This window comes from Homo sapiens, chromosome Y, assembly GCF_000001405.40.
Source record: "Homo sapiens chromosome Y, GRCh38.p14 Primary Assembly".
NCBI lineage: Eukaryota > Metazoa > Chordata > Mammalia > Primates > Hominidae > Homo > Homo sapiens.
The window spans coordinates 7,443,964-7,460,658 of NC_000024.10; the positions used below are offsets into that span (position 1 = coordinate 7,443,964).

At 41.4% G+C, this 16,695-nt stretch overlaps 1 long non-coding RNA gene across 1 annotated transcript in view; it reads left to right on the forward strand.

Moving 5' to 3' along the window:
• The first annotated feature begins 14,650 nt into the window (after positions 1 to 14,650).
• LOC107987338 (uncharacterized) overlaps positions 14,651 to 16,695 on the forward strand; it is a 61,978-nt gene continuing 59,933 nt past the window's right edge. Inside the window, exon 1 of the long non-coding RNA XR_001756055.2 lies at positions 14,651 to 14,764. This is a non-coding gene — a long non-coding RNA (uncharacterized LOC107987338). The remainder of the gene's footprint in view (positions 14,765 to 16,695) is intronic.

Sequence of the window (16,695 nt, forward strand, 5' to 3'; positions counted from 1 at the left end):
AGCATTCAGGCCATAAAAGCTGGTGTCCATGTTAGGGGTTCTGCATTGTAAACTGCAGTACACATTGAGAAAATATCATCATCTCTAAACATTTGTTTCTCCGGGCTGATGAAAGAGTGAAGATGTCTGAAGAATAAAAAGGATGACTGTGTGGAAACATGCCCTGCCAACTTGATAAATTCACCAATGATCACAATTGAGTGTCTCATGTAATGAAGGTTGGCTAATTAAAGAATACCAATGTGCCCTACAGGCATGCTTTGGATTAGCATCCACTTCTGTAAGCCAGGTTGTTTGAGAACAGATGAGTTAACTCTGCAGCCAGAAGATTAATGTGGGATTTTGCTCAGGGTTATTTCACTGAGACACAGAAGATGGCAACAAGATCTACGCAATCTTGCCATAAGGTCAGCACGTGGATGTGTCTCAGCAAATCCTTTAGAAGAATGCAGAACTATCTGACCAGGTTTCTGGAAACATCCAGCTCCTCGTCCTGCCTGTAGAATCCTGTGCCTTGCAAGGCTGTTAGCAAGGAAGCACTCCCTCTCCTTGAGCTAATGATGGCTCTTAAGGAAGGGAGGGAGGGGAGAAGGGAGGGAGGGAGGGGAGAAGGGAGGGAGGGAGGGGAGAAGGGAGGGAGGGAGGGAGGGAAGGAGGAATCTTTCTATGCACATGAAGATATATCATTTCTAAGGTACCTAGCCTCTAAGGCCATCAATATCACTGCTTTCCAAAAACAAATAATAACATCACTATCCAACTTATAAAAGTCCTATTCAGTATAAGTCTGAGAACTTTCTGGAACACATTGAGTTGAAAAGCCAAACATAATGCAAATAAATTGACCACAAGCTCTTGCTTAAAACTGTAGTCCTCCTTTAAATGTCAGTGTTGCTGATCTTCCTTCTGGCTGTTGTGCTAGTTTTTTCAATTAGCAAACCTGCTACTTATTATTTTTACTACTGTTGTTTTTTAGGAGGGAAGAATTTAGGAAGAAATGCTGGATTTTTTTCACATAGGGTACACAAAAGCTTATTTCACTAAAATTTCAAAGTGTACGTTTCATACCTATATTTATATGTATATTTAAGTTTGATATAAAAACATGAAAATGGTTATTTTTATTTTTTATTTTTAATTTTTTGAGACAGTCTCATTCTGTTGCCCAGGCTGGAGTACAGTGGCATGATCATAACTCACTGCAGCCTCAAACTCTGGGGTTCAAGCAATCCTCCTACCTCAGGCTCCTGAGTAACTGGGACTACAGGTGTATGTCACCATGCCCATTTAATTTTTAAAAGTATTTGTAGATACATGGTCTTGCTGTGTTGCCCAGACTGATCTTCAACCTTTGGCCTCAAACAATCCTCTCACCTCAGCCTCTCAAAATGCTGGGATTATAGGCATGAACCATTGTGACTCTTTTGTAAAAAAAATTTATTTTTTATTTTTTAGACAGGGTCTCATTCTGTCATCCAGGTTGGAGTGCAGTGGCTCAATCTCAGCTCACTGTAACCTCTGCCTCCTGGACCCAAGCAATCCTCCTACCTCAGCTTCCCAAGTAGCTAGGACCACAGGTGTGTGTCATCATGCCTGGCTAATTTTTTGTATTTTTGGTAGAGATGGGGTTTCACCATGTTGCCCAAGCTGGTCTCAAATTCTTGACCTCAAGTGATTTGCCCACCTTGGCCTCCCAAAGTGCTCAGATAACAGGCATGAGCCACCACGCTTGGCCGTGTATCTCTTTTATAAGGGTGCTAATCCCATTTGTGAGTCTCCACCCTCATGACCTCATCACCTCCCAAAGGCCCCACCTTCCACCATCATCATGTTGAAGGTTCTAGCTTAATACATTAATTTTGGGAGGACACAGACATTCAGACCATGACACTAAGGCTGCCATAAGAAAGTGTCACCAACAAAGTGCCGAATCACAGACTTCTGTGGCCACAAATAACATGGGAAAGGGTCTTCTGCTCCTTGTGGGTCCTTCTCCTGCCATCCTCACCCTGGTGCACAGACAGTCCTATGGCCAACCTCTGCTCATTCTCTCCCTTGTCTGTTTCCATGGGATCCTTCTGGGACAATGACGAAAGGTGAAGCTTCAGTTGTTCATAGACTTCCCATATCTCATTTACATCCCTGGTCAATAGTAAGACACAGCATCTGTCAGGACCAACCAAGGAGGCAGAGGTCAACATGGTGGACAAACAACCTGACTGATGAGAACAGTGTAACCCCACAGGGGATGATTTAAAGCCTCGCCACCCCAAGACAGTGTTGGCCACTTCATTGGGTACAGTGGGGTCTACATGACCTACCACACAGAATCCTAAATCCCTGCACTGGACATGAATCCTGCTGCTGGCCACTAGGTACTGAATTTTTAGGGTGAGTGTTTGGAGATGGCTAGAATGATGGGGAAATCCAGTGAAGATGCCTGTCTATGTCTTGGTATACACAAAAATATTACTGCTATGGAGAATTTCTAGTTCATTGTTTTTTGAGACAGGGTCTCATTCTGTTGCTTAGGCTGGAGTGCAGTAGTGCAATCACGGCTCACTGCACCTTAACCTCCTGGGCTCAAGGGATCCTCCCACCTCAGCCTCCTGAATAGTTGGGAACACAGGCATGTACTACCACATGCCTGAGTAATTTTTAAATTTTTATTGTAGAGATGAGTTCTCATTGTGTTGCCCAGGCTGGTCTCAAACACCTGGGCTTGAAGAATCCTCCAATCTTGGACTCCTGAAGTGCTGGGATTACAGGACTGAGGCAATCAGCCTCACTAATTTTTTTTTAAATCTTAAGGGAGGAGATGCCGTAATCACTTCTAATTCCAACCCCCTGGGGTGAGCCAGTCCCCATAATCTTGGACTTGGAGATGAGATCTGCTCCAGTGCCATAGATAATCCCTGAGCTATTTGCAATTATAAGGTTGAGAAGAAACTTGGAGCTCTGAATACCATAAAAATAGTAGCTGCAAATCAGAAACAGGTTCTCATTCGTGCCTGACCACATGGAGATGCAATTTGTAGGTTTCATCATGGACCCAAGACCTAGGATTCTACCTTTTCACAGACTGGGAAGACTCCATTGCTACATCTGTGTCCAGATATAATGAACACAAAAGTCACTTCCCAGCTGGACATGAATGTCCCAGTGCTGAATTCCTCCCCGGCAGTGATCTTGTAACCTCACTCAAATAGCTTAAAAAAGAGACAGCTGTCATGTCTTCACCCTGGTCCTTCTTATCACCACAACATCTATATTATCTCTGAAATCTTACATTTCACTGCAGTCAGCATCTGACCATAATACTTTAGCTTTAGCCCTCTCTCCCCAAGACCCTCATAATCCTTCCCCATCTCTTTGATCTTAGTCTACTATCTCCACCTGACTTTCTTCTTTTCTTTGATGCCTCAGGCCAGTACCAACCCTTAGGCTACAAGCCTGAAACAACTCTGCAAAAGACATTGTCTTGAGGCTACCTCTGGGCTCTGATCAATTACTTGCTGATTGGTATGATTTGGTTGTGTCCCCACCCAAATCTTGAATTGTAGCTCCCATAATTCCCATGAGTTCTGGGAGGGACCTATTGGGAGGTAATTGAATCATGGGGGCAGGGCTTTCTCATGCTGTTCTAGTGATAGTGAATAAGTCTCAGGAGATCCAATGGTTTTATAAAGGGGAGTTTTCTTGCACACTCTTTCCTGTCTGCTGCCATGTAAGATGTACCTTTACTCCTCATTCACCTTCTGCCATAATCATGAGGCCTCCCCAGCCATGTCAAACTGTGAGTCCATTAAAACTCTTTCCTTTATAAATTATCCAACCTTGGGTAAGTCTTTATTGGCAGCATGAGAACAGATTAATACCCTCATCACTGGTGGTGCCTCACCCTGCCAGGTCTGTAAGCTGCCTGGGAACTGTGTCTGCACCCATGAATAGTTCTTGCCCACATGTCAGATTCAGGAGTTGCAAACCCTTGCAAGTCATTTTTGCCTCCTCTCTGCCCCGCGATTTTCTTCCCCCAAACAACTTACTCTCTAGGTCTTAAAGGAAATTTCAGCCTTCCACGATTATCTCACACATGAATTCCTATCTTACACCCCTATGACACATCTCCCTTGAGGTTTTCTTCTGACTGGTACTTCCTTGTAGTTCAATCCCTACAGAATTCCTTGGGTAATTACAAAATTACAAACGTAAGTGTGCCATGCTCTTAAATAAAATTCTTTCTAATCACATCCCATCATTTAGAGCAGGAATTGGCACACTTTTCTATTTTTGTTTTTTAACTGGCCAAATGTCTTTGGCTTAGTGGGGCATCCGGTCTCCATGGCATCTACTCAACTCCACCACTGGGTTGAAAATACACCCACAGAAAATATGTAAATGAATGTTTTATTGGCTGTGTGCCAATAAAACATTTTTTACAAAAACAGATGATGGGTCGAGTTTGGCCAGTGGACCCTAGTTTGTCAAGCTCTGATTTAGAGGATAAAAAACAAATTTTAAAACACGGTGCAAGGGGCCGGGCATGGTGGCTTATGCCTGTAATCCCAGCACATTGGGAGGCCGAGGCGGGTGGATCATGAGGTCAGGAGCTGGAGACCATCCTGGCCAACATAGTGAAATCCCATCTCTATTAAAAATACAAAAATTAGCTGGGTGTGGTGTTGCATGCCTGTAATCCTAGCTACTTGAGAGGCTGAAGCAGGAGAATAGCTTGAATCAGGGAGTTGGAGGTTGCAGTGAGCTGAGATCCTGCCACTGCACTCCAGCCTGGCAACAGAGCAAGACTCCGTCTCAAAAACAAACAAACATACAAACAAACAAAAACGTAGTGGAAGGGCGATGCTCTCTCTTGCTGTGCATTCTGATGCTCACTTCTAGTGCCTGAATTCCTTCTCTCTCCATCAGCATATGCCAAGCAGCTGCTAGTGACTTGTGAATACCATTTCAGCATGAAACATGCTTTGTCAAGAACAGGCACTGTGATGGGCTGAACTGTATCCTCCTCAAATCCATATGTTGAAATCCTAACATGTAGGATCTCAGAATGTGACTATATTTGGAGATGGGGTCTTTAAAGAGGTGACAAAGGTAAAACAAGGTCAGTAGAATGGCCCTTGATCCAATAGGACTGGAGTCCTTATAAGAACAGGAGATGAGGACACAGACATCATCTGTGCATGAGGACACAGGTAAAAGACCACGTCTACAAGCCAGTAAGAGAGGCCTCAGGAGGAGCGAGCCCTGCCCACACCTGGATCTCAGACTTCCAGCCTCCAGGACTGTGGGAGGATAAATGTCTGTTGTTTAAGCCACCCAGTCTGTGGACCTTTGTTATGGTGGCCCAAGCATAATGCAGGCACCTTGTCCGTACCCCAGACATTATTCTGCTTTCTGCTTTCTTTACTTATTTGGTGATGGAGCTATCCTTAAAATACCTTGTGGACTCAGTGCTGTTGGGTTAGAAAAGGACAATGTCTCAGAGATTGAAAGCAGTATGTCCCGCATTACAGCTCAAATGAGGACCAGAAGTTAACTCTGCTTGGAAATCTCAGTCCCCGCCCCCACCCCTCTTTCCTCTGCACTTGGGAATCTGGCTTATGAGAATGGGATGGCTCTGATTTTTCCATTCTGCCTTACCCCAGTAGCTGCTACAATGGACGTATTATTCTTGGTGCAATAGTGTTCACTACTTTTTATAGTCAATGCTGTTTCTAGCCTGGCTGAGGGGAGTGGAAAGTAGAGGCAGTGGTTCCAGGGTTTCAGATGGTTCCCAAGCTCCAGCTATTAAATAAAAATACAGTGTTTTCTCCTTTTCTGAGAGCAGTCCAAACTGACTTTATGTTTTCATCAAGTTCTGTCCATTTCTATTCTATCTCTGCTTCCTTCGCAACTTGTAAAACATTTGCTGAGCATTGTGACTTTTAAAGATACTTTATGAGCCTTTCACAGACTTAGTGTATGGACATTCTTCATGAGCCAATGTACACATTCTCCAAAGGGTAGAGACACTTGGCTGCACCTGGTTGTTGCCACACCTGAGATGTGTTTGTGTTGGCTGAGATACATAGACATTACCAGGAAACAACTCCAAGTCTGTGCTGGTAAAATAGCTCCATCTTTAAAGTTCACTTCCGCATAGTTTGAAGTTGAATAGCTTAAGAAGCCTTGCCCATTCTTGTTGCCTATGAGAGAGGAGAGAGACATTCAGTGTGTGCACTGGAATATTGTCATGTGATTGCAAAAACCAAATAATGAAGAATAGAATGTAGTTAGATGCAAAGAGGTGGTTTGATTTGCTTTGAGTTATACCCCTCTTGTTTCTAGTGTTTTTCTTCCTGGAACTTCATTGTGTCAATGTCTGTAGTTGTGTCTAACTTTATTTAGCTCTTGAATGTGAATGTTCTTATCCTCAAGTTACATGTACCTGAGATAAATAAAATGCAATGGAAGTTCTACTTACAATTTTTTATTTATTTATTTATTTATTTATTTATTTATTTATTTATTTATTTTATTTTTTGAGACGTAGTCTTGCTCTGTCACCCAGGCTGGAGTGCAGTGGTGCAATCTTGGCTCACAGCAACCTCCAATTCCTGGGTTCAAATGATTCTCTTTCCTCAGCCTCTTGAGTAGCTGGGATTACAGGTGTATGCCACCACACCCAACTAATTTTTGTATTTTTAGTAGAGAAGGGTTTTTGTCATGTTGGCCAGGCTGGTCTTGACCTCAGGTGACCCACCTGCCTTAGCCACTGAAAATGGTGAGATTACAGGCATGAGCCACTGCACCCAGCATATCTATTACATTATTTTTCTTTCACCATTAGATACTGAATATTTGATAGCTGTGCCCTAAATAGGAATGGAAACAGATAAAGATTGGCTCACAAATCAGCATCTGAAATGGGTCCTTTTTGTTAAATGCTAAACTATAGATCTCACTAATTATTCAGCCATTCTTTGGATATTATTTTGCAAACTGAATTTGTAAAATTCTACCTGTATTTACCTTAATTATTCATGTTCCGATAACTTAATGTGTTCCTTACCTTGAATTTTAGCCACATTCCAAGAGTTAACTTTACCCTTTCCACATATACAAGGTTTCTCCACTTCTTATTCTCCTATGCTCAGCACATATTTACTGTGAAGCAAACCCTACCTGCTTAATTTTCTCTTTAAAGTGAAATGTCACTGGTTTATTCACCAAGTAGTCTTCTGAGGGCTAAAGAAAACTACTTCTTTCTTCTTTGTAATATTTATGTCCACAAGGCATTCTAAACATTGGCGTCAGTCTGCAACAGTGGTTCTTTCTCTGAACACTCAACATGTTTAAGCACTGTCATATGAACATGGTCACAAATATTATTACGCCATCAAATGGAGGACAATGTAATGCTTTAAGATTTAAATAGGCTTTAAAATCAGCATGGCCAGGTGCAGTGGCTCACACTTGTAATCCCAGCACGTTGGAAGGTTGAGGTGGAAGGACCACATGAGCACAGGAGTTCTAGACCAGCCTGAGCAACATAATCAGACTTCATCTCTACTAAAATTTTTTGCAAAAATAAGCAGGGTGTGGTTTTGCACACTTGTTGTCCCAGCTCCTTGGGGGGCTCAGTGGGAGGATCACTTGAGCCCAGGAAGTCTATGCTGCAATGAGCTATGATTGCACCACTGCACTCCAGCCTGGGCAACAAAGCAAGAACCCATCTCTATAAATAAGTAAATAAAATCCATTACCTGAAACATTCAGATAACAATCATCAAAACAGTATACACCTTTTAGAAAAACAAATTGTTTTTTAAATTAATTAATTAACTTAATAATTAATTAATTTTGAGACAGAGTCTTGTTCTGTCACCCTGGCTGGAGTACAGTGGTGCAGTCATAGCTCTCTACAGTCTTGAACTCCTGGGCTTAAGCTGTAATGCCCAACCTCATTTCTCCTTTTTCACATAGCCTTGTTTCCACCTGAATAGACTCTCCCTTAGCTAAGAGAACAAGACAGACTCCATCTTGGCTCTTTCACTGGCAGCCCCTTCCTCAAGGACTTAACTTGTGCAAGCTGACTCCAAACACATCCAAGAATGCAATTAACTGATAAGATACTGTGGCAAGCTATATCTGCAGTCCCCAAGAACTCATCTGATTGATAACGCCCAAAGCCCCATGTCTATCACCTTGTAATAGTCTTAAAGCCCCTGCCCTTGGAACTGTTTACTTTCCTGTAACCATTTATCCTTTTAACTTTTTGACTACTTAACTTCTGTAAAATTGTTTTAACTAGACCCCCCTCCTCCCCTTTCTAAACCATGGTATAAAAGTTAATCAAGCCCCTTCCTCGGGGCCGAGAGAACTTTGAGCGTTAGTCATCTCTCGGCCGCCGGCTAATAAATGACTCTTAATTCATCTCAAAGTGTGGCATTTTTCTAACTCACTCGGGTATGACAAAGCGATCCTCCCACCTCAGCCTTGTGAATAACTGGGACTACAGGTGTGAGCCATTGTGCCTGGCTGACCCTGTTGTTTTATTCAGAATCCTAAAGTGGTTGCCATGGGCTGCAACATGGGTGTCCCTGAGCCCAGATGTTCACGTCCTAATCTCAGGAACCTGTGAATCTTTTACATTACATGGCAAACAGGACTTTCCAGATTAACGCTCTTGAGACAGGAGATTATTCTGGATTATTCAGATGCGCTCAACATAACACCAAGCTCCTTGGAAGAGCGCAGCAGCAAGCAGTCAAAGATGAAGAAAGCAGATGCGATGAAGAAAGCAGAGAGAGACACAGAGAGGGACAGAGAAAGAGAAGAAGAGACAGGGAAACACACACACACAAAGAGAGAGACACTTAGAGACAGAGGCACAGAGACAGAGAGAGACAAAGAGAGAATGAGAGACACAAAGAGAGACCGACAGAGAGACAGAGAGACAGAGAAAGAGAAGGAAAGACAGAGACAGAGAGACACACACACACACACACAGAGACAGAGAGTGACAAAGAGAGATGGAAAAACACAAAGAGAGACAGACAGAAACAGAGACAGAGACAGAGAGATAGGAAGAGACAAAGAGACACAGGCAGAGAGAGAGAGACAAAGAGAGACAGAGAATGGGACACAGAAAGGCAGAGAGAGGGAGACAGAGACAGAGGCAGAAAGAGAGACAGAGAGAGGCTGAAGACAGAGGCAGAAGGAGAGATAGAGAGAGGCAGAGACAGACAGACAGAGAAGGGGGAGGTGAAGCAGCACTCCTGGTTTTGAAGACACAGGAAGGAGCCATGAGCCAAGGAATGCCGGGATTTGTGGCGGGCGCCTGTAGTCCCAGCTACTCGGGAGGCTGAGGCAGGAGAATGGCATGAATCCTGTTGGCGGAGCTTGCTGTGAGCCGAGATCGTGCCACTGCACCCTAGCCTGGGCGACTGAGACTCTGTCTCAAAAAAAAAAAAAGCATCTTACATCTCATTTTACTATTAAAATGAGAAAGGGTCAGTTTGAGGACAGGTAACCTCAAAATGCTCATGCTCTCTGTAAGGGAAAGTCCCTACTGAAGAATTGTTTTGCTTGAATGAGCTCAATGACAATGCAAATGCTGAAGCTTAGTACGGTCATGGTTACCATGCTTGCTGCACATAGAGAACATGTGTAAAAAACTAGAGTTTGCATAAGACAATCAATCATGAAGCCACACACACACACATGTCCCCCACAAGTGAGGATGACACATGAAAAATTGACTCTTCCAAATCCTTGGGGAAAAATATGATTCAGAATCCCTCTTCAGAAGTCACTGGTTTTTATTGTGGAGTTGTGAAAGGTCAGTCTGTGCTCTGGAAAATCCTGATGTGAGTGGGACTTGTGTTCAGTTTCCCGTTAACCCTTTTTGGGAGTCTGCCTTCTCCTTTAGTAGATTAAGTCTTGTTAATTCCAGGCTCTCTGCTGCAGTAGGGGGTTTGTCTTTCTTGGAAGTAAATCATCTGGGTTTTCGAACCTGACAATCCATTTGCTGCCAGTGCACTATTTATTAATTCTTACTCAAGTGTCAATGGCTACTTAATTATGGCAACAGGCAAACAGCACAGGCATTTTACCAGACCTAATGCCATAATAGTGGAACACCTACTGAGTACCCAGAAGAGCAAGAGGATGCTACTTTATCTACAAGTTGGCTGTGAAGGGAAACTGATTTGCTCTTTTGCAAACAGCATTTGTATCTACTCTCTCCCCTTTTTTCCTGCTTCAGATTATTCTCTTCTTGTTTCCCACTCTCTGTCAAATTCTCTGACATTAAAACTCTTTCCTCCCATTTCCTCCCCTCACCTCCCCTTTACTCCCTTCACCTCCTCTCTTCTCTTTTCCTTTCCTTTCCTTTTGACAGGATTTTGCTTGTCACCCAGGCTGGAGTGCAGCGGCACAATCATAGCTCACTGCAGCCTCCAACTCCTGGATATATATATTACATATATGACAGTCATTCCTTAAAATTATAATGAATCTGCCCTATACTAGTGTACCTTTTTTTTTTATACCATATTTTTACTGTACATTTTAATGTTTGGATGAATTTAGATACAGAAATATTTACCATTGTGTTATAATTGCCTACAGTATTTAGTACAGTAACCTGCTATACAGATTTGTGGCCCAGGAGCCACAGGCTAGACCATATAGCCTACGTGTGTAGTAGGCTAGACCATCCAGGCTTGTGAAAGTGCATTCTGTGATGTTCACACAAAGTCACCTAAGGACACAGTTATCAGAATGTATCTCTGTTGTTAAGTGATACATGACTGTAGCCTTTGCTGCCCCTCTGGCCTGAATGTTCATGTATTCTCCAAATTTATCCTAATCCCCAAGGTTATAGTATTAGAAATTGGGGCTTTGGGGAGGTGATGAGGCCATGAGGGTGGAGCCTCATAGGTGAAATCAGGACACTTATAAAAGAGACCACAGAGAGCTCCCTTGCCCCTTCCACCATGTAAGAACACAGCAAGAAGGACTATCTACAAACCAGAAAGGAAGTCCATACCAGACACTAAATCTGCCATGTCTTTATCTTGGACTTCCAGAGTCCAGAACTGTGGGCAATAAATGTCTGCTGTCTATAAGCCACTCAGTATACTGTATTTTGTTATGGAAGCCCACACTGACCAAGATAGTTACAGACTGAGATCTGAGAAATCTCATGCTTTTGGGCATGAAAAAAAAAATTAGAGACAGGACTGGTGGAGGTTTTTTCTTGGAATATCATCTTTAATTTGAGTTCCCTTCCAGAGGCCATTTCTTACTGTGACTGGAAATGTCTGAGTAGCCTGTGTTCTCTTTCTTTGTATTCCTGCTCTGATCTTATCTTCTAGTCTCCAACCAGAAAGTTTAATCTTGACAGGTACTGACAGAAATGAAAAATGTGACCATTTCCTCCAGGGTGACCATGTGTTTTAAGTTCTCTGAAAAAAGCTAGCATGTGTAATTTTGTACATTCTTATTGTTTTTACAAAACCTCTCTACTTTCAAAGAATAACATGCTGTGGATGAAGAAGCCTCTTCAGATCATGATCTGACTTTTGTTTACTGTAATTTGGTGATTTGATGATAATCAGAGAGAAATCATAGCACTGATATACCTGCTGGGGACATTAAAATGGGATTGAGACAGAGTTAATTCCCAACTGGGGAATGGTGATGCAATGTGTGAGAACCATGCCTGTCTACAACAGCTCTTGGGCATTGGAAAATCCGCACATAATTTCTTGCAGAAATGGCTGCCTAAGGGCGGCAGGCTTTTGAGGTCTGCAGTTTGTCTGGTCTTCTTCTGACAGTTTATAATAGATTTGTTTCTGTAGCTGTGACCACATGCGTATGGTATTTAGTGATGTCATGAAAGAGTTGCTAATGCTGTAGTCAGAAAAAAATGGATGAGGTTAACAGGCTTGGGAAGTTTTAACCTCGAATAGCCTAACACTTTGGTGAACATAAAGGCAGTCTGGACAATCCATTGAGACTATTTTTGTTGTTGTTGCAGAAAAACATCTATATGCTTGAAATACACATCTTTGTTATAGATACAGAGAATGTGAAGGCTTTCTTTCTTCCCAAACATGTAGAGCTAAGGCTACATTTTCTAAATCTCAAATAAATTGAATGCAAATATACTCCAATAGTAAGAAACAACACTAAAGGATACCACTATAGCATATGCTGTACCAGTTACTTGATCCTCAGTGTGGGGGTTCACGGCAACTGAAGAACAGATTACAGTTTTGTTACATGATAGTTAATACCACTATAGCATATGCTAAGTTCTTCTGCTTAGTCTTGTTAAAGCAAATAATTTTAATTCACAGGTGGGTATCTTGAAGGTATCGTCTTTGTTTATAGACTGAGGTTTACAGAAATTAACAGAAATAAACATGATTTTTATCTACAAGCAAAATCAAAGATGATAAATTCAGATTAACTGTAATTACCTCAATGTTTTATGCAAAAGTGTCTTTATTTTGAAACAACCCAACATAAGAAAGCAAACTTGAACTGTAATTAGATTGTCTCAGTATAAACCATTTAACTGACACTGTACTAAGTTGTTTAATAGGTGACTTACTCATAATATGCTGGGTTTGATGTTTATCTTTTCAGGATAGAATTATAAAGATTTTTTAAAATTTTTATTTTTTATTTTATTTTATGTTTTTGAAATGAAGCCTGGCTATGTTGCCCAGGCTGGTCTTGAACTCCTGGGCTCAAGCAATCCTCCCACCTTGCCATCCCAAAGTGCTGGGATTACAGGTGTGAGCCACCATGCCCAGCCTAAAATGATTTTTTTTAAAGTCCATCATTCTTTTGTTCCGCTAAAAATAATAGATGGAATATTGCATAATATATCTAACTTGTTAAAAGAAGTCGGCCGGGTGCGGTGTCAATGGACATCCTTACAGAGTTTATCGTATTTTATGGTTTGTGAACTAAAAAAAAATGAAACCTAAGAGGTGACCAATTAAGTAACCTGAAACTATATGTGTATATAGTATATATATATATACACACATATGTATATATATGTGTGTGTGTCTGTACATATTATTTTATATATATATATAAACTGCATCAGACAAATCTGGCTTAACTTTCATGTAACAAAATTGTGATTTGTTCTTCAGTTGCCATGAACCCTCACACTGAAGATCATGTAACTTGAATGTGCCAGGATGAACCTAGCATGCAACTTGAGATAATCCTAATTGAGAAGTAGGGACTGAATTAAGAAGCAGACACCACATTTCATGATTCAGGATCCAATCAGATTGAACCCTGGGATCACCCTATGGCAAGATCCAATTAGATCGTGCCTCCTGGCATCATCCCATGGCAAGATCCAATCAGAACATGCCTTGTGGCATCACTTCATTGCAAAGTCCAATTAGATCTTGTCTAATTACCATGTGCTTATAAAGCCTGACCTGAAGCTCAGCTCACAGACAAGATTTGAGCATTACCTCCAGTCTCTTTGCCAGCTGACTCACAATAAAGCTTTTCTTTTGTCAAAAGCCAGTGTCATAGTATTAGTCTCTATGTGGATTGAGCGGCGAGCTCATTGATTGGTCATCTATAGCTGTATCTATAGCTATAGATACTCATCTACAGAAACATCATGGCTGTGTGATGATAGCAATGATGTCAAACAGGTACTGTAAGACCATAAGGTCTTTACAGGTTCCCTGATCAAAATGACCCAATACAAAACGTTGTTTTTTGAAGTTGAGCAGAAAGAGAGATGAGCAGAAATCACTTAGTGGGTTGAGGAGACTAATGCAAAAGGTATTTGGAGAATAGGAGGAGGAAGTGGGCTGGATAAACACAGTAGGGACTACATGTTGGCTGCTTCCATGGAGACTGTTTCTGAGGTGAAAGTACTCATGCCAGGAAACAAAAATAAAGAGATATTTTAGTTTATGAGTGTATCTGCTTTCCTAACATGCAGCTGTTTATTAACATTAATGGATATCTGGTTTTTTTTTTCACTCCATCCAAATTTAAAGCTTCATAGAATCCTAAACTTCAGTGTTGGAAGAATCCCTTAACCCTGTCACCCCACTTCTTTCAAGGAGAGTTCTTATCCAGGATTATAAATAAAAATCCCAGGGAGAACATTATCAAAATTCATGCACCCTATTCTTTTTCAGTAGATCTGAGAGAGGGGAAAAAAATCTTAACTACCTATTTAAAAAATTTTTTAAAAAGGATCTTTCTGATATATACCCTGAAAGAATCACCATCACATGGAAAAAGAGTACCTTAAAAATAGTTACATTTTTCCACTTGATCATGCCAAACAATTATGTGAATAAGAAAATGACATATTTTGCACCTAACTTGCCAAGCTGAAAAGACTTTTTCCTTTTGTATATTCGCTAGCAAATTGGGACAGTTTAACTTGCATCTTAGCCAATTTCTGCAGAAGCTGGGGCTCTGTGTATTTAGCTGGTTTGCAACTGATAAAAGCAGCTGTATCTCCACTGGATGGAAATTGCAGTGTGTAACACATGGCATGCAAAACAGGATATGAGAGGATTTTGGCAAGCAAAGGGACTCAGTTTCAGAAAGCTCTGGGGCTCCTCAGTTAGAATTCACTCTGCTGCCTCTACCTGCTGACAACTCACATCAATGCCTGGGTGTATGGATCTTGCTGGAAAATCAAAATGTAACTGGCAAAGAGAAATGCAGAGGTTCAATATTGTGCAAGGTAGGAGGAAGGCAGGTAGGAGACTTGCTGATAAGATAAATGTTGAATGAATAACAGTAGATAATCTGCCAATTGTTGGGCTGATGGTAAAAAGTATGAAGGAAGTTTTCTTAGACTGACTCATCAACCTGGAATTGAAGCAAGTGCATGGTGGGGAGATGCTGGCTTTCATGGGAGGAATGGTGTTGAAAAGTCAAAACAGAGAACAAACTTGTCCCATCTCTACTTGGGTTCATATCCTTTCTCTTTGCAAAGCAAGCTGTGATTCAGAGGCAGTGAAAGCCATCACCTGGGGCTTCAGTTCTTTCCAGACTTACCCTTCAGTGGATCAAAGTTTTGTGTCTAATCCATTATGGGGAGATCAACCTTTAAATTTTTATCTTTTCTCCCTTTTTCCTTCTTCTTTCTCCTCTTCCTCCTTCTCTTTTCCTCCTCTTCCTTCTCTCCTGCTTTTTCTCTTTTCCTTCTCCTTTTTCTCCTTTGACTTCTTATTCTTCAGGGCTTACCCTTCACGTTAATGTGTAAACAATATGATTTGAGTCAAACTTGGACATTGGGGAAAAGTTTATTCCTTATGGGTGCCTTCACTAGTACTTATGATATCAGTCCACAGCATCAAAAATATGACATTAGGCTCTCCCTTAATTCTCCAAATGCAGTTAAATCTAGGTGGTGACATATACCACAATCTTAATGTATTGGCTAATGAGAGGATGAACAAGCCAAAAAGAAAAGAGAAGGAAAGGACATTAATTTGGAAACTGCCAATGACAACTTTTACTGTCCATTGCCATAATCCCTACTGGTAGGTCCTTGAAGGCATTCTTGATATGGTAAAATAAACATGGCATTTTACTTCCATGGTTTTACCAAAACCTGTAAGCCGTCTGAACATGAAAAAAAATCTTGACATAGCCTAATTGAGGTATATTCTAGAAAATACCTGCCAAGTTGTGTCCTCAAGACTGTCAAGGTCATCAAAAACAAGGACTGTCTAAGAAATTGTCTCATCCAAGAGGAGCATAAAGAGATGTGTGATAACAAAATGTAACTTAGGATCTTGGAAGATGCTGGAGCAGAAAGAGAATATTAGGTGAAAACCAAGGAGATCTAAATAAAGTAGGAAATTTAGATGGTGATGATGGTGATGATCATGATGATGATGGTGGTGATGGTGATGATGGTGTTGGTGATGATAGTCATGATGATGGTGATGATCATGGTGGTGATGATGACTGTGATTATGGTGATGGTGATGGTGATGATGATGGTGATGGTGAAGATGATGGTGATGGTGATGATGCTGATGATGATGAGTTGATGACAGTGATGATAATGGTGATGGTGATGGTGGTGGTGGTGATGGTGATGATGGTGATGAGATGATGATGGTGATGGTGATGATGGTGATATAAGCTTCCAATAAGCTATAATGTTGTTTCTAAATATAGGTCCAATATAGTTTAGTAGACACACAGGAAAGTCTTTTCAGGGAAGCTAGCTCTCACTGATGTCTTTGCTATCCAAAGAATGTTATACTTGCTCAGCAAACAACATCTATAGGAACTAGCACTCAGGAAAGTAAAAAAAAAAAAAAGACAGCAGAGGGCCAGTCCATTCTTCTCGTAGTTCATTCATATACTTGGTCACATGCTGCCACTACCTGCAAGGGAGATTGGGAGAAGGTATCCCTATAAGGGCAGACATGTGCCCAACAAAAACTTTGGTGGTGGGCGGGGTGGGGGAGTTCTATGACACAAAATACAAAGGAGAGAATGGCAGTTACCCCTGTCTGTCTTAGCCTTCATAGAGATGATGAGTTGAACCAGGAAAACAGCAGAGGGACTAAGAAGAAAGGGAAAGATTGGAGAGGGAAGTTACCCACAGAGTTGGTGAACATTTTGCCAGGTCTGACCTGAAGATCATGATTG